Source organism: Homo sapiens, chromosome 5, assembly GCF_000001405.40.
Source record: "Homo sapiens chromosome 5, GRCh38.p14 Primary Assembly".
Lineage (NCBI taxonomy): Eukaryota > Metazoa > Chordata > Mammalia > Primates > Hominidae > Homo > Homo sapiens.
This window is the reverse complement of record NC_000005.10, coordinates 55129790-55155192: the sequence shown is the minus strand read 5'-3', so window position 1 is coordinate 55155192 and position 25403 is coordinate 55129790. Positions and strand designations below refer to the sequence as shown.

Below are 25403 nucleotides of genomic sequence, written 5' to 3'. Positions count from 1 at the left end.
ATGTCACTATGATGTGAACTCTACAGGTAAACAAGCTGAACTGATGTGCTTGGAGTACCGAGTCATTCATCCCTTTTCCCTTCTTTGTCTTACTTTTCTTATCTTCCTCTTCCTTTCTATTAATAAATACTTGAGTCATTCAAAACTATGCGACAGGCATTTCCTTGGCAGGAGATAGATCCTGGAACAGAAGTTTAAAAATACTGAAGATGAAATAGCACAATCTGCAGCAGTGTTTCCTTCACTGCAGTCATTGAAGGAGTACCACCTCTGTGATTTTGCCATATCTGTATATCGTTTATTTGCTTAACATTTTAATACTCATACTAACAAATGAGTATTTAAATACAATTTATTTTTCTAAAATTAATTTTTCTAAGGAAAACTTTACATCAAACCTGAAAAATTATAAAATGACATTAAATACATAATTATTAGTGTTCATCTATACCACTATGAACCATATGTCCCTAGTGCAGGGACTGAGAGAATTTTACTTTATATTCAAACTGTGCTCTCTTTCAAAGTTCTCTGAATTGAATCTACCCCTTCATGGGTCCTGGTTGTATCACAGGGAGCAATATAAAGTAAGTTTTTCTTTTATTCATAAATTGCATCCCTTTAAATATTTGAAGACAGTTCCTTTTGGGTTTTCCTCTTTTTTCTTTTTTCTTGGGAGACACGGTCTCACTCTGTCACCCAGGCTGCAGTGCAGTGGCATGATCATGGCTCACTGCAGCGTCGACCTCCCAGGATCAAGCAATCCTCCCACCTTAGCCTCCCAAGTAGCTGGGCCACAGGTGCGTGCCACCATGCCCAGCTAGTTTTTTGATTTTTATTTTAGAGATGGGGTCTCACTTGCCCAGCCTGGTCTGGAACTCCTGGCCTCAAGTGATTCCCCCTCTGCACTGGCCCCCCAAAATGCTTAGAGTACAGGTGTAAGCCACTGCGCCAGACCCTTTTGAATCTTCTTTCTCCTAGACTAAGCACCCCAGGTTTCCACCCTTGGATGTGCTGGGGTGTTGTCCCATTACGGTGTTTACCTTGACCCCTGTCACTGTGGTCTCTTTCCTCCAAATGAACTCAGGGTTCGAATCCTGACTTGTCCATCTCCCTTCTTGAAGAACAGTTCTGGGACTGGACGTGGTTCTCCAGATGTGTTCTGAGCGGTGCAGAGACACAGAGTTTAGATTGCTCCTGTTCTGGACACTATTTTTCTGTTAATGGGACCTAAAATCGTACTGATTTTTTACAATAATTTCACCATACTGTTTGCTCATATTGTAGTGGGGTCTGCCTAACACTGCCAATCTTTTTCACTGCATGTTGATTCTCTTCCATCTTATGCCTGTGCAATGAAGAAAAAAAATCTAAATAAGAATATTGTTCATGCAACTTTATTGAATTAAATTTTGCTGCTTTGGCCCTTGTCCCAGACTTTATTCTGAATTCTATTCTGTCCTTTAGTATTTTAACTATATTTTCAGCTTAGAGTAATCAACAATTTTGATAAATAAATCTCCATTCAAGCTGCTGATAACAAGTTGAATAGCAGAAGGCCAGAGACTAAACCTTCAGTCCACCCCGGGGGGATTTATTCAGGCTAACGTGGATCTGCTGACTTGTGCCATCTAGGACACTGGCAGCAAATTTATTACTAGTTACTTGCTTCTCCTATTGGAGAACCATGAAAAATAATACATATATCTATCAGGGGGCATGTATTTTTCTTATTTGTCATGTTTTGCTCATAGATCACTAACAAGTATTGGTTCTGAAAGTGCTGTCATTACTCTGGGTTTTATTTATTTGGCCCTACAGACTTGAACTTGTTTTAAAAGCCCAGATACACTTTTGTTGTTTCATTTATCTCATTCTCTAATTTCTGCAGAAATGTTTATTTTACTCTGTACAATTTGAAAATTGTTCTTTTTTTTTTTTTTTTTTTTTTTATGAGACAAGGTCTGGCTATATCGCCCAGGTTGGAGAGCAGTAGCACGATCTTGGCTCACTGCAACCTCTGCCTTCTGGGCTCAAGCCATCCTCCCACCTCAGTCTCCTGAGCAGCTGGGACTATAGGCACACACCACCGTGCCCAGCTAATTTTTGTATTTTTTGTTCAGATGGGGTTTCGCCACATTGTCGAGGCTGGTCTTGAACTCCTGAGCTCAAGCCATCCACCTGCCTTGGCCTCCCCAAGTGCTGGGATTATAAGCGTGAGCCACCGTGCCTGCCCTGAGAATTGTTCTCCTTAATGGAGAAGGATGAAAACAGCTTATTTCCTTGCCTCTGGATTCTTTCTCAAATGCCTTGTGCCTTTTTAGTACTAACTGCCTCTAGGGGAAGAGATTCATCTATTTATTCATTATGGGGTTTCTAGATACCAATGTCCCGAGGATAGTAAGATAAAAGACAAAGTCCCTGGTCTTAAGGAGTGTATGATATAGCAGGAGAGAAAGTAAAAAAGTGGAATATGAGCAGACCTGCTTTTTAGCATAGGGATTAGACTAGATTGATTTGTCAGAGTTCAAACTGTGGCAGGGTTGCTCTGGTTGGTTGTGAGGGTTGTGCACTGCATATTCCAGAGGGTGCCATTCATAGAGACAATGATCTATACAGCTGTATGTAGTGTACAGCTGCCTATTAGCTCTATATCCTTGCTAAAATTACCTAACCCCATTAAGATTTGTCTTCCAACTCTGTATTCTGAAATAATACTAGTACCTATTTCAGAGGGTTGTGATGAAACTAAAATAGACACTCCCTCCGATTCATATATCCCAGGGCTTGGCACGGATTAAGTGTTTGGTAAATGTTATTAGCACAAGGTGGTCATGCTGGAGCATGCACAGTGAGTGTGGAAGCACAGGGCTGAGTATTTGTTCCCTAGGGCTGCTGCAACAAATTACCAGAAACTTTGTAGCTTAGACACACATATTCTCTTCTAGTTACGGAGGCCAGAGGTCCAAACTCAGTTTCATTGGGCAGAAGCTGGGGTGTCAGCAGGGCCTGGCCTCCTCCAGAGGCTCTAGTGGAGAATCCATTCCTTGCCTCTTCTGGTTTCTGGTGACTGCCAGCATTTCTTGGCCTGTGGCCCTATCACTCCGGTCACTGCCTCTTTGGTCACATTGCTGCTCCTTTTCTGTGTGCAGTCACATCTCCCTCTGCCTTCCTCTTACAGGGATACATGTGATTGCATTTAGGGCTCATCCTGACAATTCACAATAGTCTCCTCACCTCAACTTAACTTCATCCTGAACTTACATCTGCATAGCCCCTTTGCCATATGAAGTAACATTTATAGGTTCCAGGGGTTAGGATCTGGATCTCTCTAGGGACCATTATTTAGCTACCATTGGCTGCCTAATCTAGTTTGGAATCGGGAGGAAGGGAATGTCAGAGACACCTTCCTGAAGGAGTTGATGGCTGAACCCAGAAGTGAAGGTGGCTGGGATTTACCCTGGCAGAAAACTGGGGATGAACATCCTAAGTGGGAAACATTTGGGGTGGACAGAGTGACGGTAGACGAATCACAGAAACTCAGACCTGCTAAGGCGGTAGGATATTGTTAACGTGCAACTTCTCATGTTGTTTTCGCAGACATAGCTGACATAGCATCCAATTATTATTCTTTAATTTCCTCTTTTAAACCCAGAATTTTAAAAATGTATATTTAAAGTTTAGAATTTCTTTGGAATTTTGCTCTAAGGAAACTTTTGAGCAAGTGTCTCTGTCCTCTGCCATGTTTTCTGCAAACTAAGTTTATCTTCCAATGCGGTGTCTCCTCCCTTTCTTGGTACCTGTGAGGGTAAGGGCTACCTGGACATAGTGGAGCCGTTGCAAATGTAGCCCACTGAATGTGGCCCACAGACATGCTCTGTTGAGTCCTCCAGTCTTTTTGAAAAATTAGAATCAGTTGAACACTTTAAAAAGTGGGAAAATTCATATGAAAAGTCTAAATTTCTAATATCTTTTATGAAATGAGACGATGTGTCTCAATGTGTTCTTGCTGTGGCTAAAACACAAGCATTAAAGTTTGAGAGATTCCCTCAGTTTCTGGGGCTGAGACCCCAAAGCCTCTGAGCTGGTACTGCGGTTTTTTTCTTAGCGGAGAGAAATAAAAAAGTGGGGAAATGAAAGTTCGAGTGGCCCTGTGAGGGGCCTCATACTTGTAATCCTAGCACTTTTGGGGGCTTAGGTGGGAGTATTGCTTGAGCCCAGGAGTTAAAGACCAGCCTGGGCAACATGGTGAAACCCCGTCTCTCCAAAAAACACAAAAATTAGCCAGGTGTGGTGGTGCACACCTGTAGTCCCAGCTACTGGTGAGCTTGAGGCAGGAGGATCGCTTGAGCTCTGGGAGGTCGAGACTGCGGTGAGCCATGATTGTGCCGCTGCACTCCAGCCTAGGTGACAGAGTGAGACTGCCTCAAAATAACAAAGCAAAACAAAAAAGAAGGCCAGAGTGGGCCATGCTTCTCATCCAGGCTGGCATTACTCATCACCTTACCTGCTGCCCCCTAGTCAAGGTTTCTGAGATTGAGATGCCTGATTGACATGTACAGCCTCTTTTCATCCTTCCCATTCCTACTCAAAAACCAAGAACTACAAGACAGAAAAACTGACCCCCAACAACACTTTACAACAGCTGTGGCCTCAGCCTCTTGGCTCCTGTCTTCTGCGAAAGAAGTTCTCTTTGGTCAGCTGGTGGGGAGAGCACAGAGCAGCAGTGGAGAGAGAGCCGGCCTCGCCCCCTGGGGGCTGCAGGCAGGGTGGGCCAGCACCCTCACACACGCTTAGTAAAAAACCCAAACTGAACCAATGCTTACTGCTTCAACATTCTAGCATATTCCCTTCCTATCTTTCATTTAGAGCTAGGAAGTAGGACTGTATTGGAATACTCTTTTATAGTCCCTGTTTTACAGCTAGCAATATATTGTAAGCATTTGCATGTTTTATTCACTATTATCCTATGTTACCATTTTTAAAAAGATTTCTTTTATTGAAGTGAAATGCACATATTTAAAAAAACCTTTATTTTTTAATTTTTTATTTATTTTTTTGAGACGGGGTTTCACTCTTGTTGCCCAGGCTGGAGTGCAATGGTGCGATCTCGGCTCACTGCAACCTCTGCCTCCTGGGTTCAAGCGATTCTCTTGTCAGCCTCCCAAGTAGCTGGGATTACAGGCACATGCCACCACGGCTGGCTAATTTTTGTATTTTTAGTAGAGATGGGGTTTCATCATATTGGTCAGGCTGGTCTTGAACTCCTGACCTCAGGTGATTAACTCACCTCAGTCTCCCAAAGTGTTGGGATTACAGGTGTGAGCCACTGCACCTGGCCAAAAATAACCTTTTAAGTCACCAATTCAGTGGTCTTTAGTGTATTTCCAATGTTCTGGAACCACCACTTCTCTCTTGTTCCAAAATGTTTTCATCACCTCAAAAGAAAACTCCATACCCATTAAGCAGTTGCTCCCCATTTCCTCCTCCCCTAATCCCTGACAATGACCAATCTGTGTTCTCCGCCTATGGATTTTCCTGTGCTGACTATTTCATATAGATGGAATCACACAATATGTGACCTTTCCTGTCTGGCTTCTTTCACTTAGCATAATGCTTTCAAGGCTTATGCAGATTATGACATGTATCAGCAACTCATTCCTCTTGGGAGTGATATGTAGATCACTTGCATATGTAGATACGTCCCATGATTTGTTTATGCATTCATCTGTTGATGAGTGTTTGGGTTGTCTGCACCTTCTTATTGTGATTAGTGCTACTATGAACATATGTGCACATGAATTTGAGTTTGAGTACATATACCTATGAGTGGACTTGCTTGGTCATGTGGTAATTCTAGGTTTATCTTTTTGAGGTATCACCAAACTAATCTTCCACAATGACTGCATCCTTTCACATTCTGTACACTTGCAATGTACAAAGATTCCAGTTTCTTCGCATCCTTACCAATGCTTATTAGTTTCCATTAAAAAAATTCTAGCCATCCTCGTGGGTGTGAAGTGGTGCTTTGGTGTGGTTTAGTTTACATTTCCCTAATGTATGTCATTTCTGATGGCAGCAGAGCAGTCCCTCTTAGAGATGTCCTGTTAGTTTGCCTAGTCAGTTCTCCACTGGTAAACACTTAGTCTCTGTCTCACATCTTTTTGTACTTACAAACATGTAAAATGCAGTACACACCCTCATGTTCTCAGTTGAGAGCCTGGACTCTGGGGTCAGACAGGTGAGCCTCAGGTGTGGCATCGCCACTTACTGTGTAGTCTTGGACAATTCACTTGACCTCTAAGCCTCAGTTTCTTCACTGATAAAATGGGCGTAAATAAGATCTGCTTCACAGATGTTTCTTAGGATTAAATACAAACGTGTAAAACCCTGTACATATGGTTTCATACATAGTAACTACTCAATAAATGCTGGATGTTTTCTCCATCTTGGCTCATATCTTAGATTTCTTTTTTCTTTTTTTGTTTTTATTTTGAGACAGGGTCTCACTTTGTCGCCCAGGCTGGAGTGCAGCAGCGCCAATGCGGCTCACTGCAGCAAGCAATCCTCCTGCCTCAGCCCCATCAAGTAGCTAGGACTACAAGTACACACCACCACGCTCAACTCATTCTTGTATTTTTTGTAGAGACAGGGTTTTGTCTTGTTGCCCAGGCTGGTCCCGAACACCTGGGCTCAAGCAATCTGCCTGCCTCAGCCTCACAAAGAGCTACGATTTCAAGCATGAGCCGCCACGGCCGGCTGATTTCTTTTTTAAATTCTTAGAGGTGATATTGCTGGGTCAGTAGAAGTTATGCACATATATGAAGGCTTTTGACGCACATTGTCCAAAAGTCCTTTCCAGATACTAATTTAACCTCCACAGCAGTGTATGCCAGTGTTTGTTTTTGGCACCTTCAACACCAGGGATTGTCACAAAAAAATTATTGCTAACATCTCATTGCTGTTTTAAATTTGCATTTCTTTGATTGCTAGTGAGATTAAATATCTTTTGGGCATTTATATATCTCTTTTATGAATTGTCTTTTTAATGTCCTATGGCCCAGTTTTTCTGTTGAGTTGGTAAACTTGTCAATTTCTATAAGAGCTCTTTATGACTAGGATTTTAATCTAAATTGTCTGTCATTTTATTAAAAGATAATTCCAGTTTGTCACTTGCATTTTAATTTCACATGGCTACATGGGATGGTTCACTACTACAGGCTCTATAAATATCAAACTCCTGGTGTTTCTTAGAGAAGATGGACAGATGTTGAGCAAATCACTTACTTTCTCTAGGCCTCAGCTTCCCCATCTGTGAAATGAAGGGTTTGGACTAGAAAATTGCTGTTTATATCCAGATTTGAAATTTTATCATTTCATACAAACATCTTGCATGTTCAGTACATAGTGTTATATCATATGTCATATTTTACACTGATATGTAATGGTAATATTTATAAATGTAATTACTCCCTAAACTACATTGGTATACCTACAGACCCTTGAGCAGAGGCTCTAAGTAAGTAGTGGCATTTTGGTGTTTTTTAGATAGAAGAAATATATATCTATTTTACATATAAAATAATATATTTCACATATAAACATAAAAAAATAACATTTTACACATAAATACATATAAAAATGTAACAGTTTACACATAAATATATAAAAATACGTAACATTTTTATATATAAATACATATAAAATAACATGTTTTATAAATATAAACATAAAATATAACTTTTGTATATAAATATCAATATAAAAATATATAAAATATAACATATTTTATATATAAATATAAATATATAAAACATAACATACTTATGTTTATATAATATATAAATATATAAAACAACATACTTATGTTTATATAATATATAAATATATAAAACATAACATATTTATGTTTATATAATATATAAATATATAAAACATAACATATTTATGTTTATATAATATATAAATATATAAAACATAACATATTTATGTTTATATAATATATAAATATATAAAACAACATATTTATGTTTATATAATATATAAATATATAAAACAACATATTTATGTTTATATAATATATAAATATATAAAACATAACATATTTATGTTTATATAATATGTAACTATAAAATATAACATTTTACGTATAACTATATACAAAAATATATACAAATATATAAAATAATATCTAGGTTACAAAAATTAAAAAAATCTCATTATATATATTTTATTGGTGTTGTACTAGATGAGTCATTTGTAATTCTCTTATAGGGAATTTTTACTTTTGCATCACTGAGGCCAGTGGACTTACAGCTGTTTTTGTTGTTAAACAGGTACTCGATTCAGTTAATGCTACGTATTCTGACTTTAAGAGCAACTTTGCGAAGAGGCTGTCCGCAGAGGTTCCTGTTGCGAGTAGCCCCATTACCACAAGGTGGCAGCAAAGTCAAACTAGGGCTCTGTCCTCTGATTCCTTTGGGGAAGAGCAGTCAACCACCTACCTCCCAGAAGCTTCCGGATCAGTGCTGAAGACACCGCCTGAGAAAGAGACCTTGACTCTAGGTGAGGTGCCCCAAACGCCACAGCCCCGTTTTGCAACGTGAATAAAAGATATATTCCTGAGAGAATCTTTGTCTTGTAGAACTAAGGAGTGTCACTTTGAGTCAACTCTTTTCTCTTTTTCTCCCTTTGAATAAGAAATTTCCAAGGTGGGGAGAAATGACACAAAAACAAAGGAAAGGTACTGTATGTGTTTAAAAACAAAAACAAAAACAAAACTTTAGACAAATTAAATTTTACAAAGTTAATTGTGCAAAGAACCGTTGGCCAATGGGCAACCAGAGAGCCACTCCATGTGGGGGCGGGCAGCATTTATGGATAGGAATTGGAAGTGCGTAGGAGCCGGCCTGATTGGCTACAGCTCAGTTCGCCTTATTTGCACGTGGTCTGATTAGTTGGCCGCCTGTGATTGACTGAAGCTCAGCTTCTGTGATTGGCGGAGACTCAGCTAAGTTAGGCTTTCAGTTAGTTTACATCCCAAGTTAGGTTGCAGTTTGAGATGTAGGGACTCATCCTACATCCTCAGGCAAAATTTAGCTTAATTTTAATATGTTTTTGAGACTTGCATTGGTTAGATGATTACTTTTGTAAAGATTGTATGAATGTATATGTATATATGTATATGTACACATACACACATATATATGTGCTTTTGTTTTGCAAAGTATAGAATTTTAATGACTGGTAAGGTTACTGGTATACAGAGTCAGAAAAAATTATGCGTTAGTAATGGAATAATCAGATGTGAAATGGAAGAAAAAGACAGAAGCAGGAGAGAATGAGAGGAAGAGAAAGTAAGAGGAAGGAAGCAAGAGAGAGGGATGAGGGGATGGATGGGGGGAGAGAGACAAAGAGAAAGAGAGAAGAGAGGAGGAGACAGAGGAGGAGGAGGAGGAAGAAAGAAGAAAGAAGAACCTCCAAGAGTAGTAGGGAAGAAGAAGAGGGAAGGAAAGGAGAGTGAGAGACAGTCTGATGCCTATGTTGGGGCAGAGATGGGGGAGTGGGCTCCAAACCACCAGTGTGATGGGCAGGATCCATGATCAACCTGCCAGAGCCCCGAAACACAAACTCTCTTTCTGAAATATGTAATTCTCATTTGGGCACAGACATTTTCATTCCCATCCTTCAGAAGCAAAATTTGCCACCTATCATCAGCTGATGTAATTCCCATTCTTTCTTTTGAGAATCCTAGGCAACATAATTCTTTTGACTATCAGCGTATTTATTAAGACAAATGTTAATAGAAGTGCCAACTCTTTTCAATGACATCAGACATGATGATGCATTGCAGTTCTGCAGATTGAAAGGGAGCCCAGATTTTTTTCAAATCAATGAAATTCCCATGTAACGACAGGCTTTAATACTGAAAGTATTTAATAACCGAGGAGGGAAGCAGTAGGAGATAAAGGGTTGTGAAAAACATTGTTATGACTATCTTCTGAAAGAAATCTTTTGTATCTCATTGCAATTGAGGGACAGTTTTGATGCTGATTGTTTTTGGAAGAATTTCTGGCTAAAATTAGGGGCTCCCTTTTACTTTCTAGGTTCTTAATTAATTTATTGATTTTTTAAAAAAGTATGACATTGTGTGAGAAATTCAGAAATCAGATATTAACAAAAAGGATTTTACAAGAAAGACCATTTTATTTTCTACTGAAGTTAATACTAGGGATTAATCAGATCTACTGGTTTCTCAGTGCTTTGCTAGTGGGGTTTCTTTCTTTTTGTTTTAGAAGAGCAGATACTGAAGATCCTCCCATTCCAAAGGGACATTTACAGAGAGGTTCATTTTCAGTCATGCTCTGTGGACAGAACCTGAGAGGTCCCTTCTTTCTTAGGCTGATGGACCTGACCTCTTTGTATATAACTGTGATGATTGTCAGTACTAGCCTCTGACTGCAACTTTTTCTTTCTCATTTGAAGTTCTGAGAGCTGGCTTTTTCTCCCCTGTACACTTTTACAAATAGCACAAGAAAGCAAGCATGCATAATTTCTCAGGACAAAGAGCAAGATCTAAAACTTTGACCAGCATTTCATATTTTTATCCTTCTTCTCCCTAAATGTAATATATATTGCTTAAATTTTGAATGTCCCAGTACTTAAGGTACTAGGCTCTAGGAACATTAGTGAGAATTTATCAAGCTCATGGTTGTCCAAATGAAGAAGAGATTGTCACATGGCAAAAGGCTAAGATTTTCCAATGGTCCCTTGGCTCCTGTGATGAACAAGTGATATGGCAGATATTTAGTTTTAGAGAATGACTTGACAGGTTTCCAGGGCAGTTGAAAGTCTGGTAAAGGGCTTTCTCAATCTTGAGAAGAGAGTAGATAGGAATAATATTGATGCAAGTAACATTGACCCTTCTATTACTTTAACTTAGAAAGTATTTCACTGATGCCATCTTAAACTATCTTTAAAACATCTTTCTGCAATAGAAAGGGGGAGAGAGGCAAAGTGATTTGCTCATGATTATGTAGTGAATGTCAATGCTGGCAAAGCAAGCATCCCATAATGTTTTCCTTGCAGGATGACCATAGCTCGGGCAAACCAGATACTCTTTCCACTATCATTTAAAACTATGGAACTGTTTCTATCCATTCTTCAAATGTGCAAATCTGGTTTTTTTTTTTTTTTTTCCATACAGAGATAAAGCATTCACACTGCTGCTGCAGCAAATGAAGTCAGGTCTTTAATCTTGGCACCTCTTCCCTGCTCTAGAGGCCACTGAGACAGCTTTCTCATTGAGTGACAACCTTATGAAGTCAGCAGTCTGGATAGGATTCTGTACTGCTCTCTGCAATGGACTTTGGAGCGACGAGAGCCTGGGCTTTTTCACTCTGTCCTGCTCTCTGCAATGGACTTTGGAGTGACGAGAGCCTGGGCTTTTTCACTCTGTCCTTCTGTGAAAGATGCCACAGCCAGACCTACAATCAAAGTGATTATCTTGTTTTAAAAACCAAATTCAAAGATAAATGTCTTTCTTGTAGGATCCCGCAAAGAACAACTGAAGACCCCCAGCAAAGGAATTTCTGAAACAAGTAACTCTGCTCTCCATTTTTGCAAGGCACCTCATGCAATGGACAGAGACTGGAAAGAAAGTGTTGCCTCAAAAGGGCAGGTAGGTAAAGAGAAAAAAACTGAAGATCCCACATCTAGAGAAGCTGAGACAACTTAGTTGCAAATGTAAGGGAAGAGTTGCTTAGTTCTCTTACCAATCAATAAGAAAATGATGCATTCCTGATAAAAAATGAATAATTGAAGGATATGAATAGAGCCACTTTGTAAAAGAAAGAAGATATCCCCCAAATATATGAGAAAATGTTGAGTTGGGATTAATTAAAAAAGTGAAAATGAGAATAACTATTTTATCTTTACAAACAGGTAAAGGTTAAAAATATAATGAAATTATACTTATTACGGTATGCTTCCTCTTAGCCTAAGGATCTCTTGCTGTCATCATTTCCAACTATTTGATGATGTGATCTGTCCTTTGGGGTCTCTTAGGAAAAGTTGAATTATTGCTCTATATGATGGTCTTTTAAATATTTCCCTTAAGCCTTTCTTGTTGTTTGTTTTTTTCTTGGTTAAGTACATTTATTACATTTAGGTATCTTTTATTTATTATAGTTTTAAGATCTTAGGAGTCTGACGTAAATCTTTTGGGCACATTAAATATCAACAGCATGTTTTTGAATTTATCAAATCCAATGAAGAGTCTTTGAAGGAATCCATATTTCAGTTCGAAAGCTTTGAACTAGAAAAGTCATAAATTCTCAATTTAGGCAAAATTACTTATTCAGTGTATGCCTTTTTCTGTGCTTGGCTATTTTGCTAGAAGAATAATAAAATATTGTTCATATAAATTTTAGTTATCTGAACTCATATGCAATTGGAAGTGAATGTTTTAGAGCAGGTATTTTGATGTGTGCTTTATTGTTGGATATGGGTTTGGGGGATAGGGAATGGCCGGGGAGTCCTACTGAGATAATTAGGGTGCACTGGTGGCCTCAAACATGGGCCAGATTATTGACACTCCTGTGTTTTCCACCCTCTACTGCTGATTGGAGTTTTTGCTGCCCTACCCCTTAAGACTTCCTTTTCCTTCCTCTTATCCTTTCTGGTAACTGGTGGCAGCAAGGTTAGTGGCTCCATCTGTGGGCTCATGATGGTGTTGGCAAGATACTCCTTAGCAATTGTTATACCAGCTGGAACATCATCCCAGCATCACTGAAGAACCTGGGCAGGGGATAATGGAAGCTGTTCTATGGTGTTAAGGAGAGCATTTTTTGTCATGATTAGTTAGAAGTCAAATAGCATCGAGAGTGGTGAAGACTCAAAGCGAGGTCTTTCCCCTGTAGAGTAAACGTGTGTCTTCATGTGGTCCTCACTGATCATCTGGAGGGTGTTTCCACAACGAGGGCCTGCATAGCCGTGGAGACTTTCAGAATTCATCTTCCAGGAGCTCCATATTAAGTTGCTGATTAAAGTAGTAAGTCGATCTCATCTAGGAAAGAGCACCCCTGCACCCACAGAACAGAAGCGCCTGCTAAACCTTGCTGTGATCAGCTTTGTGGTAACTGTGGGATTCTAAAGAAGTGAGTCTGTGAAGAGTTCATTGAACTACTGATGAGCAGGCCATTTTAGGAATATTATTTTATACTAACGGTTCTCAACTCAGGGTGATTTTACTCACCAAGGGGCATTTGGCAATATCTAAAGACATTTCATTGTTACAACTCAGGGGGAGAGCATCTTGTGGGTGAAGGCCTGGGTTACTGCTAAACATCCTACAATGCACAGAACAGCTCCCACAACAATGAATTGTTGCCCATAGTGCCAAGATTGGGAAACCCTGCTTTCTAGTTAGTTGTTCTACCTTGAATAACTAAAAACCACGATTCATTGACAGCAATGCCAATTATGTGACATAACATCAAGGAAGAAAAACAAAATACCAAAATGTTGTCTGTCAGAGAGACTTCTGTCTGAACCGTGGGGACCCAGAGTGTAAGGAACATGGCTGTGCTTTGGTCAAGGATAGGCCGAGGTAGGATGTTTACATTCTTCGTGACTCAGTGAGTATAGAGCACAGGCGTATAACTCCACTTGTCATCATAGCCATGTAGACACAACATAGAGAAGCTCACCACTATAGTTATAACACCGGGAAGGCCATCACTTGGCTCTAAGCCACTATTGTCCGTAAAAGGTATAATTGCCCTGTTGACACTGTGCAGAAGCTGGCACCTGGAGAAAGAGAAAGCCAGAGCTGTCTTTGCAGATGGATGAGGGGAGCCAGGACACAGCTTGGCTTGCTCGTGCCCAGAGAAAGAAAGTGTTAAGCTGCTGACCCTGAAGGCAAGGGAGAGCCAGTCTTGCAGCTGTGTGTGTGGGTCATCAATTAAGCAGCCAAGATAAAGGTGAACAGTGTAGAGAGCTAGTGTAAGAAAGCTGTTGATGAGAGCTGCTGCTGAATAAAATCATTCACCTGCCTACGGCCCCCCAAAGTGTTCTTTCTGCTCATCCACCCACTCCCTCCAGACCTCAACATGACCTTTGGCGTAGTTCTGAACCTGACACAGTGTTTGTCATATTTGGGAGAGCAAATATTTTATTGTGAAGAAGCAAAACAGAATCTTCTCTGCTTTAATCATTTATCACTATGTTTTTAGGAAATTCCAACAGTTATTTTTCTTTCCACTTATTACTAATTTTCCCAGGTGTTTTTGATTGAAGTTGGATGTAAGAGTGTCAGAAGGGCTCTTTATATATTGGCCCAAAGGGATGGGACCCAGATTTTTGTGCACATGGAATTTTAGTAAAGTTACTTAAGAGCTCTGTGAAGGTGTTAACAAAAAAGGACCTTAAGATGGCCATTCAGCTGTGGCAGGCTTTGCTGATATCACTGGCCTATGGTGTATAGGCTAAACAGATTTTTAGGCTAGAAGAGTAAAAAAAGATTTTATTCTAGCCAAAAAATACCTGCTCTATGGAGTTGTTGAACTCCATAGTTGAGAAATAATATATGTAAAATGCTCAGCACTGTTCATAATATATTGTTTAGTTAATAAATAATAGCGATTATTGTGGTGTTGGCTTTGACAATGTGGAATCTTTGAACTCCTTAGTGAATTACCAGTTGTAATTCTATATTATACATTACATTTTAGTTGTACATGTATGTTTTTAAAGAAATATTCTCCTTATGTGTGTTTATTTTCAGAAATGCCTAAAACAACTCTTTGTAACCCAGAACGTGGTTCAGCAGGCTAATGGAAAAATGCAGCTCTGTGAGCAATCCGAATGTGTTTGGAAAGGTACAGGATCAAGACATTGTCCTTCTTTCCTGCGCTCCTCTCTCTCTGCCTCCTTCATTTCTTCCTAATCTTAAAATATATTATTTTTAATATTTACTAGACTAAATCAACCTAATTGTAAAATATGAATAATTCTCATAATCCTCTGTTCTAACTACCCCTACCTCCAAGTCCCATTCTCTATAGGTGACCACCTTTAGTTCTTCCAGCTGTCCTCCTGGTATTTACATCTATTTTCTAAATAATATTGGTAAACTACTATTTCTTGTGATTTTAGACTTAATCATGACTTTTTTGTTTTTGGTGTTGCTCAGGCTGGAGTGCAGTGGTGCGATCTTGGCTCACTGCAACCTTTGCCTCCCGGGTTCAAAGGACTCTCATGCCTCAGCTCCCTGAGTAGCTGGGATTATAGGCATGCACCACCATGCCTGGTTAATTTTTTTGTATTTTTAGTAGAGTTGGGTTTCACCATGTTGGCCATGGCTGGTCTCGAACTCCTGGCCGCAAGTGACCCTCCTGCCTCAGCCTCCCAAAGTGCTGGGATTACAGGCATAGTAGATAAGAATTTAGTTCTCTTCCTGCCTCATTCAGTTTCATCAGTTTCTCGACATGCTTATATCACACTTTAAAAAAGTAAAATTAGTAGTTAATGTTTACATCATATTACTACACAACTATTATTCACTATCAAGCCAAATAATATAATTATGCTTCTTTTCTAGTATAATTGTTTAGCTGAGTATTAAAAGTTGCCTTAGTTTTCATTTACTAGATAACTATGACACCATTAATATTTCCTCTAAATGCTCCAATGTTTTATTCCGTAGCTGTCAATAACATTTTCCATGCACTCACTCACTCCAGTTTCTTCTTTTCCTTGATGTCCTCCCTTTCAGAGCCTGCTGAACAGGCTGCTTTCTTGGCCAGTTGCACAGTTGTCTTCTGGGACTTTTCATCAATATTATATCCACTATTTTTGGGCAGCTATGTTGTGCTCTTTCTGGGTTTGCTGGTCTGAAGATGTCCTTATTTTTCTTTTATGCTTGATTCATAGTTTGGCTGGCTATAAATTCTAGTCTCACTCAGAATTTTGACAATATTGCTTTATGGTTTTCTAGTATCCACTGTTGCTGTTGAGAAGTCATGTGTTAATTTGACTTCAACTTTGCTTTTTCTCTCTTGATGCTCTTAGAAAAGTCTTTTATCACCAGTGTTCTAAGATTTCATGATGATAAAGCTTGGCATTAAAAAAAAAAACTCATTGTAAATCAAAAGCCCATTGGTGGATATTTTCATTCTTGGAGATCCATATCCTATAGTTCTTGGAAAGTTGCTTGAATTATTTTTTAATATTTTTTTTATTGTCATTTATTTTTTCCTTCTTTATGAAATATCCTGGATTGACTCTCCAATTCTCTTATCTTTTATCTTCTATTTTTCATCTCACTTTTTTATTTTTAAACCTTTTGGGTGATTTCCTCAACTCTGTTCACCAACCTCGCTATGAAACTTTTTATTTTGGCTATCCTACTTTTAATTTTTTAAAAGCAATTTCTGTACTCTGTTCCTTTTTTTTTTTTTACAGCATCCTGTTCATGCTTCATGGATATACTATCTTCTCCTATATCTCTGACAATATTATTTTATAGATTTTTAGAAGTACTTCTGTGCTCTCTGTGTTGTTTTCCTTTGCTTTGGTTTTCTCTCCCTCCAACCCCCCATTTACTTTGGCTTCTCTCAGAGTGAAAACTTTCCTGAAAGGTGTGCTGTTTTAAAAATAGTACTAGGGTAAAGAGCTTAGTTCTCCTTTCGTAGGTTAAAGAGTACCAGGGTAAATTCAGTATAAAGATATTAGTATAGGCGCGGTGGGTCAAGCCTGCAATCTTAGCATTTTGGGAGGCCGAGGCAGTGGATCACTTGAAACCAGGAGTTCGAGACCAGCCTGGCCAACATGGTGAGACCCCATCTCTAGTAAAAACACAAAAATTAGCTGAACATAGTGGCTCACGCCTGTAATCCCAGCTACTTGGGAGATTGAGGCAGGAGAATCACTTGAACCTGGGAGGCGGAGGTTGTAGTGAGCCGAAATCACGCCACTGCACTCCAGCCTGGGCGACAGAGTGAGCTCTGTCTTTTTTTTTTTTTTTTAACTCAAAATCTATTTTTTTGTTTCATACATCTCCATGGTGCCTGGCGCTATTGAATTAAAAAATTGTCATTTTTATTTATCCAGAGAATAAACATCTGGTTTCTTCTGGTATATCCATATATGTGTGTCTGTATTTACTTGGTTGGGCAGGGTGTGTGTGTATGTGTGGGAACTTGACAGTCTTTTAACTAACCCACCTCTCAGTCTTCTCTGTGCCTCGGAGCCCTTGTGGGATTTTGCAAGGCAAATCAGCTTGTTTCTCTTCACTGTCTCCCTTTGCAGGCACTTGAGGGGTAGTTTCTTATGCTCTTCTTGGTCAGTTATTAATCCTTTATCCACTGTCTAGAAAATTATTGGGCTCTCTTGCCCACTGCTATATTCACTCCCATAGTGTTTGTTCTTGTGTCTTCACCCCTTAAAAAAGTCATTTGCTGTACTTAGGTTGAAAATAGGAGGCAGAGGAAATAAACTTACATGGCCATTCCTCCAACTTGACTTGACTTACCTATGTCTCTCCCCTTCCCATAGATCACTTTAGTGGCAGCATGAAGAAACGATTTGAACAGGAGGATGTTGGTGGCAAAGACTAATTGAGAGGCCCTCTGAATACTCTATGCAAGGCTCTGTTGTTGATTCTTTTAAGGGAACTTAAACTATGAAACAGATCCCACATAAGCCAAGTAATTGCTCATCAGTGGATCACGGGGACAAATGTTATCCAAATGCTGTGTATATAAAGCAATTCTTTATGCCTTGTCCATATCTAATGACTCTGAAACCTTACAGCAGGCAGCCCCTGTAAACTTTCAGGTGTACCTCTTTGCCGAAAGCTGGTAGGAAACTTTGGATGGTGGTGTTGTGAGCGTTATCAGGGAAGCTCTGTAGCCATGCAGTGGGGAGATAATTGCCTGTGGCAATTTCTAGAAGGTCCTGTTCCATGCTACATTTGGAGCTCTCAGTGCTTTCTTTCTTTTTTTTTTTTTTTTTTGAGACAGAGTCTCGCTCTGTTGCCCAAGCTGGAGTGCAGTGGCGCGATCTCAGTTCACTGCAACCTCTGTCTCCCGGGTTCAAGCGATTCTCCTGTCTCAGCTTGGGATTACAGGCACACACCACCATGCCCAGCTAATTTTTGTATTTTTAGTAGAGAAGGGGTTTCACCATGTTGGCCAGACTGGTCTCCAACTCCTGACCTCAGATGCTCCACCCGCCTCAGCCTTCCAAAATACTGAGATTATAGGCATGAGCCACTGTGCTTGGCCTCCCAAAGTCTTTTGACCCTGAGCCCCATGTGTTTTCATTCCTACTTTCTGTTGCCATCATGGACGTTTTTGTGTTATTCATGAGATTATTGTCATGGCTGGAAAATAATTGTTTGGGAGCCAGAATTCTGTGTGAGAATCCTCTTGAGAGAACTAGCGTGGTTCATTTCATAAATGCCAAGGAAACTTGCCTGCTACATTTCCCCTCTGGAATAAGTTCTGGTAAGCATATCCATGGGGTGCTTTGGCAAGGTCTCAAAAATAAATGTGAACAAGGAGACAGAAATCCTCAATGCTAAAGTAGACTTCTATTTTTATGGCTTGTCCTATTTTTTTTTTTTTTTTTTGAGATGAAGTCTTGCTCTATCGTCCAGGCTGGAGTGCAGTAGTGTGATCTTGGCTCATGGCAACCTCCACCTCCCGGGTTGAAGCAATTCTCCTGCCTCAGCTTCCTGAATAGTGGGGATTACAGGCCTGTGGTACCACACCTGGCCAATTTTTGTACTTTTAGTAGAGGCAGGGTTTCACCATGTTGCCCAGGCTGGTCTTGAACTCTGGCCACAAATGATCTGCCCACCTTGGCCTCCCAAAGTGCTGGGATTACAGGTGTGAACCACTGCACCTGCCGTGTCCCAATTTTTTATTAAAAATATTTTTTGGGGCTGGGCACAGTGGTTCACGCCTATAATCCCAGCACTTTGGGAGGCCGAGGCAGGTGGATCACGAGGTCAGGAGTTCGAGACCAGCCTGGCCAACATAGTGAAACCCTGTCTCTACTAAAAATACACACAAAAATTAGCCAGGCGTGGTGGCGGGTGCCTGTAGTCCCAGCTACTCGGGAGGCTGAGGCAGGAGAATTGCTTGAACCAGGGAGGCGGAAGTTGCAGTGAGCTGAGACCGTGCCACTGCTCTCTAGCTTGGCTGACAGAGTGAGACTCTGTCTCAAAAAAAAAAATATTTTTTTTGGAAATTTTCTTTTAAAAATTATGTAGATAACACATAGATACACACTTTTAACTTCTAAATACAGAGGTGTCCAATCTTTTGGCTTCCCTGGGCCACATTGGAAGAAGGATTGTTTTGGGCCACATATAGAATACACTAATACTAAAGATAGCTGATGAGCTAAAAAAAAAAAAAAAAAAAAAATCACAAAAAAATCTCAGTGTTTTTACAAAGTTTACAAATTTGTGTTGGGCTGCATTCAAAGCCCTCCTGGGCTGCATGTGCCCTGTGGGCTGCAGATTGGACAAGCTTCTAGCTAGAACTTTGTGCATGTTTATTCCTCAAGCGTCTGTTTCCCAGCAGTAAAAAGGGGAAAAAAATTGAGTTAGATGCATAAAAATAGGCACAAAATTTCAGGCCTTCTAAATGTTCTTTTGGGGGTTTGGGAATATATGGTTGGGATGAGAGTGTGAACCTTGTCTTTTCCTTAGAATGATATTTTCTTAAAAGCAAAATAAAATATGTGGGGACATGTCTTTCCTCAGCTCCCTCGTCTTTTGTCCTAAACAGCAACAAGTTTTTGTTTCTGTAAGGTGCTGAGTATTTGGCTTAGAATAAAAAAATATATGTTCTATGAAGCCAGAGATAATGTACCTATATTATTCTGATATTTTAGGAGTCTCTCTCTCTCCCTCTCTCTTTCTCTCTCTGTATATATATATATATAGACACACACACACACATACACTTTATTATTTAGATTTGTTTTAGGTTCACAGCAAAGTTAGGCAGAAGGTGCAGGTTCCCTTATATCCCTTGTCACCACACATGCACAGCCTCCCCCGTTATCAACATCTCCCACCAGAGTGGTACATTTGTTACAATCAATGAACCTACACTGACACATCATGGTCACCAAAAGTCCATAGTTTACATTAGAGTTCATTCCTGATGTTATGTATTCTATGGGTTTGACCAATGTATAATGACATGTATCACTATTATAGTATACAGAATAGTTTCATTTCCCTAAAAATGCTCACTGCTTTGTCTGTTCATCCGTCTCTCCCCTTCCCATAGAAACCTTTTTACTGTATCTATAGTTTTTCCTTTTCCAGAATGTCATATAGTTGGAATCATACAATATTTAGTTTTTTCAGATTGTCTTCTTTCACTTAGTAATATGCATTTAAGGTTTCTTCATGTCTTATTTTTTATTTTTTTTAGAGACAGAACCTCACTCTGTCACCCAGGCTGATGTGGAGTGGCGCTCCTGGCTCAAGTGATCCTCCCACCTAAGCCACCCAAGTAGCTGGGACTACAGGCATGTACCAGCATGCCTGGCTAATTTCTGCATTTTTTGTAGTGACAGGGTTTCACCGTGTTGCCCAGGTGGGTCTCAAACTCCTGGGCTCAGGCAATCTGCCTGCCTCAGCTCCTAAAGTGCTGAGATTACAGGCATGAGCCACCGTGCCCAGCCCCAGGAGTTTTTTTGTTCATTCTTTGGGTATTGATTTTTTTTTTAACCTTGTTGATACTTTATCAGCAAGCCTAAGTATTTTTAGTAATCTTGCAGTTTTGCCCTCAGCTACAGGTTTTCATAGCTAACACGGAAGCAGGAATTTATGAGTAACAATTTGGTTTCTTGGTGTAGCATTGTGAAGCTCTCATGCTTTTATCAGAAGCCATCTGGTCATAGACACCACAAGTCACCTGGGTGGTCTTGGTTTCTTTTGATTTTATCATTCTCAGTTTGATCACAAGCTGAGTGGTTGGAGATGAAAAGACAGCGGCCTGTGGTTTGAACTTAGTATGGTCTTTTGATGAGAACTGAACAAAAGATAGAATACTGACCTTAGATAGTCATGGGTAAAATTAACCAAAAGCAGACAATCTGAAAAAACTAAATATTGTATGATTCCAACTATAAATATATTAACAATACTCCAGTATTGGAGTCTGTGTGCTCCAATACTGAAATATTGAGAGAAAGAGCTAAAATCAACGAATCAATAAATATTTATTGATGAAGTCTCAGAGTAGGGCATAGGTGTACCAGGTAAGTCTTGGTGTGGAAAAGCAAAATTCACTTTGGTTTTAAAATCCCAAATAACAGAATAAATATTCAAAGCATGATGTAGTATCTCTGTGTACTCCTCACAAGATCTATCTTCTACATTCAGGTCTGTATGCATGTGCTTTTTAGTAGGAAGTGTCATTGAAAAAAATTTTAATCTTCTTGTTTAAATTAATACTGAAGTGCTCTTCATTTCCTTCCTTCCCCGGCTCTTTGTACTGTAGTTTTATCATGATGACTACTTATTTTCCACTTAATTAAGCTTTTTCACTTAATGTTATTTCTTAATTCCCACAAGAATAAATATTATATTTTCAGGATCTTAGAGCTGTGTAGAAGTGTTTGTTTCTTGTAGGCTGCAAAGATGGAGTCAGAGATGAATCCTTCCATCTTAAAAGTTCTGGTGATATAAACGATTCCATACTCCAACCAGAGGTGAAGATTCATATTACTGGTCTTCGAAATGACTACTGTAAGTTATCATTTAGATTGGGAATTAAAAGTTGAAATGACAAAATGCATCCTGTGCTCTGGTATAAACTTGAAATTTGATTAAACCAGATGGCCTTTATGTCTCATATCCAAATAGTGTAGCATCCAAATATGGCTAATATACTTGGCTTTTCCTGGTGCAACTTTCATATTTAGGGATGGTATTGTTAATGTTGGCATGGTGTGGGAAATATACATTTTATGTTACTGTATTAGAAAGAATTGTACTAATGATGGTCTATTCTTATGTATGTATTTTAAATATGGGTAAATCGAATCAGTCAAACAACTGCATTGGGTCTACTTGTTATGTGCCCAGCTTGTAATCTAGTTTGGAGGACAGGACTAACTGACACGGAACTGATACCATATGCCAAGGTAGATTATAAATAATAAATCATGGGATATAAGGAGCTATAAAGACTAGAAGGAGCTTAGTGAGCTTCGGTGTTGTCCAGAAAGACGTTGTGGAGATATTTATACTTAAGCTGGGTCTTGGAAGATCATTAGAACTTGGAAAGGTATAGAGGAGAAGGACCATTTTTGGTATTGTTAACAGCATGAAGAAGGCAGGATGTTGGTAATTAAGATATTTAATGGCAATGAAGAAGATACATTGGGGACTGGTGAATAGGTGGGTACAGATTATGGAGAAAAATTCAAATTCAGAAATTTAGATTTGTTTTGGGAGTTGTTGACTAAGAGAAACATCAAAGGAAAATTCATGGCAGAGTATGCAGAATGCACTTAGTAGGAAAGAGCTGCCAAAGAGTAAAGGCTTATTTTTCCTCCATGAAGAAAAGAAATGGGATGAGAAATGAATTCATGATTATTCCAAGTTTTTGAAGCAGGAGAAAGAAGGGTGGTGTCACTGAGAAGACAGATTGGCAGAGGAGGTGATTTGGAGAGGAAAGACTATGCTTGAATATTATTTTAAAGGAGACAATCAGACATAGAAGCAGTTTGGCAGATTATTTGAAACGAATGCTGGTAGTTGAAAGAGGATGGACTAGCCCGTAGGTCAGATGATTATGATTGAATCCAGGAGCCAGTGTAAGCTCCCTAGATGAGGGAGAGAGGAGCAGAGGGAAGGGGTCTGGGCTCCATGGAATATCTAAAAAGAGGCATGAGCTGGAAAAAGAAAAATCCCTGAAGGGAACAGTTCTCTATCTCCCTATTCCTTCAGCTCCTTCTCCAAGAGAATGTATTGTCATGACCAACTAAGAAGGATGGATTTTCAAAAAATGTTAAAAAACTGTTATATTAAAAAGAAACAATGTTTGTTCCCATTTTTCCTTTAAGCCACAGCCCTTTTTCTTTCTTTCTTTTTTTTTAAACAGAGTCTTGCTTTGTCACCCAGGCTGGAGTGCAGTGGCTCACTGCAGCCTCCGCCTCCTGGGTTTAAGCAATTCTCGTGCCTCAGCCTCTTGAGTAGCTGGGCGTGTAGCTACAGGCATGTGCACCATGCCTGGCTAATTTTTGTATTTTTAGTAGAGATGGAGTTTCACCATATTGGCCAGGCTAGTCTCGAACTCCTGACCTCAAGTGATCCGCCTGCCTTGGCCTCCCAAAGTGCTGGGATTACAGGCATAAGCCACCATGCCCAGACGCACAGCCCTCTTTCTTTCCTCCCTTTGACAGTACAACTTTCAAAAGATCTTTATACTTATAATTTTCTATTTCTCTCCCCATATTGTCTCAAATCCACTCTAGTCAAGTTTTAAGTCTCATCATTCAATTGAAACTACTCTTCCAAACATTACCAAAGAACTCCTCATTGTTATAGCCAACAGTTACTTCTTAGACTTCATACCGAACCCTAACAACTATATTTGAGACAGCTGATCAATCCCTCCTTCTTGATATCCCACTCTTTTGGGTTTTGTCCAAGAGTGTCTTTTGTTCACTCTTTCTCATCCTTTTTTGCTGATTTGTGTTTCTCTTCCATTTCCCTGACCTCTAAATGTTGGAGTACCCAAGGCCTGTTCCTTGGACATCTTTTCTTTTTTTACTTCTGTTCTATTTTAATTGATCTTAGCTTTTTGGCTATATCTCTTTGTATTGTGTTTTGTCGTCATTTTTCTAGGGATTACAATGTAATTTTAACTTTCTTAGTCTACGTAGAGTTACTATTGTACACATCACACAATATATAAACATCTTGCAATCACATAGGTCTCTCAAAGTCCCCACTACTTTTTAGGTTATTGTAGTTGTCATGTGTTTGTTTGTTTGTTATTGTTTTTTGAGGGAGGTTTTGAGGGAGGTTTTCACTCTGTCACCCAGGCTGGAGTGCAGTGGTTCAGGCTGGAGGCTGTAGAGGCTTACTGTGGCCTCTACCTCCTGGGCTCAAGTGATCCTCCTGCCTTAGCCTCCCAAGTAGCTGGGCCCACAGGCACATATCACCATGCCCAGGTAATTTTTTGATTTTTTATAGAGATGGGGTCTTACTTTACTCCTCAGGCTGGTCTTGAACTCTTTGGGCTCAAGTGATCCTCCCACCTTGGCCTCCCAAAGTGCTGGGATTACAGGTGTGAGACACTGTGTCTGGCCTGTCATGCATTTTATATTTACATACACTGAAAACCATCCAATTGTAAACGTTTTAAAATTTAAAAAGTATTTAAATAGCTTAAGAGGAAAAAATGGCTCCTATGTTCACCCAAATATTTACCAATTTCAGTGTTCTCCTTCATTTCTGAAGATCCAAGTTTCTCTTTCATATATTGTCCCTTTAGCCTGAAGAGCTTCCTTTAGCAGTTCTTGCAGATCAGGTCAGTTGGCACAGACTTCTGTTAGATTTTCCATCTTCCAGTTGATGAGATTTTTGCTGGATATAGAATTCTGGGTTGAAAGATCCACCACTGCCCCCTACCCCCAGCATTTAAAAGATGTTGTTCCATTGACTGTGGCCTCCATGGTATCTGGTGAGAACCCCATGGTCACCTTGTTATCCTGCTTCTAAGACCTGACTCTACTTACACATATGTTAGATTTTTGGATATTATTCCACAATTCGCTGAGGCTTCATTCTTTAAGAAATTTTTTCTCCACATTCTTTAGATTGAATAATTTCTGTTATCTATATTCAAGTTTACTCTTTCCTCTATCACCTCTATCCTGCTATTCAGTGTATCCAAGGAATTTTTCAGATATTATATTTTTCCATTTTAAAGTTTGTATTTTGTGGTTTTTGTATATTTGATTTCCATTTTAGAGCTTTGTTTTATGGTTTCTATTTTCTTTACTTAGAAAATACTTTTGATTTTTCTGTTTATCTGTTAAAGCTTCATATAAAGTTTCATATAAATTTTCATTCATTTCATGTGTGTTTTTCTTCACTTCATGGAGAATATAATGGCTGCTTTAAAGTCTTTGATAATTTCTATACCTAGGTCACCTTGGAGTTTTCATCTATTGGTTATGTTTTGTCTTTACATTTATCCAGTAATTTTGAATTGTGTCTGGATATTGTAGATGTTATGTTATAGTCACTGGGTCCTGTGGAGAATGTTGATGTTTTGTTCTGGTTGATGTTTTTGTTCTAGTTAGGTTCACATTTTAAGTTTTGTCTTGCCATTTGTGGGTGGTGTTTCAAATCT

At 39.3% G+C, this 25403-nt stretch overlaps 1 protein-coding gene across 3 annotated transcripts in view; it reads left to right on the top strand.

Moving 5' to 3' along the window:
* CDC20B (cell division cycle 20B) overlaps window positions 1-25403 on the top strand; it is a 60207-nt gene that overhangs the window by 17985 nt on the left and 16819 nt on the right. For all 3 annotated transcript variants that reach the window (NM_001145734.2, NM_152623.2, NM_001170402.1), the window contains exons 3-6: window positions 8337-8565; window positions 11550-11680; window positions 14786-14879; window positions 21665-21781. In NM_001145734.2, coding sequence (NP_001139206.2) covers window positions 8337-8565; window positions 11550-11680; window positions 14786-14879; window positions 21665-21781 — 571 coding nt within the window. The remainder of the gene's footprint in view (window positions 1-8336; window positions 8566-11549; window positions 11681-14785; window positions 14880-21664; window positions 21782-25403) is intronic.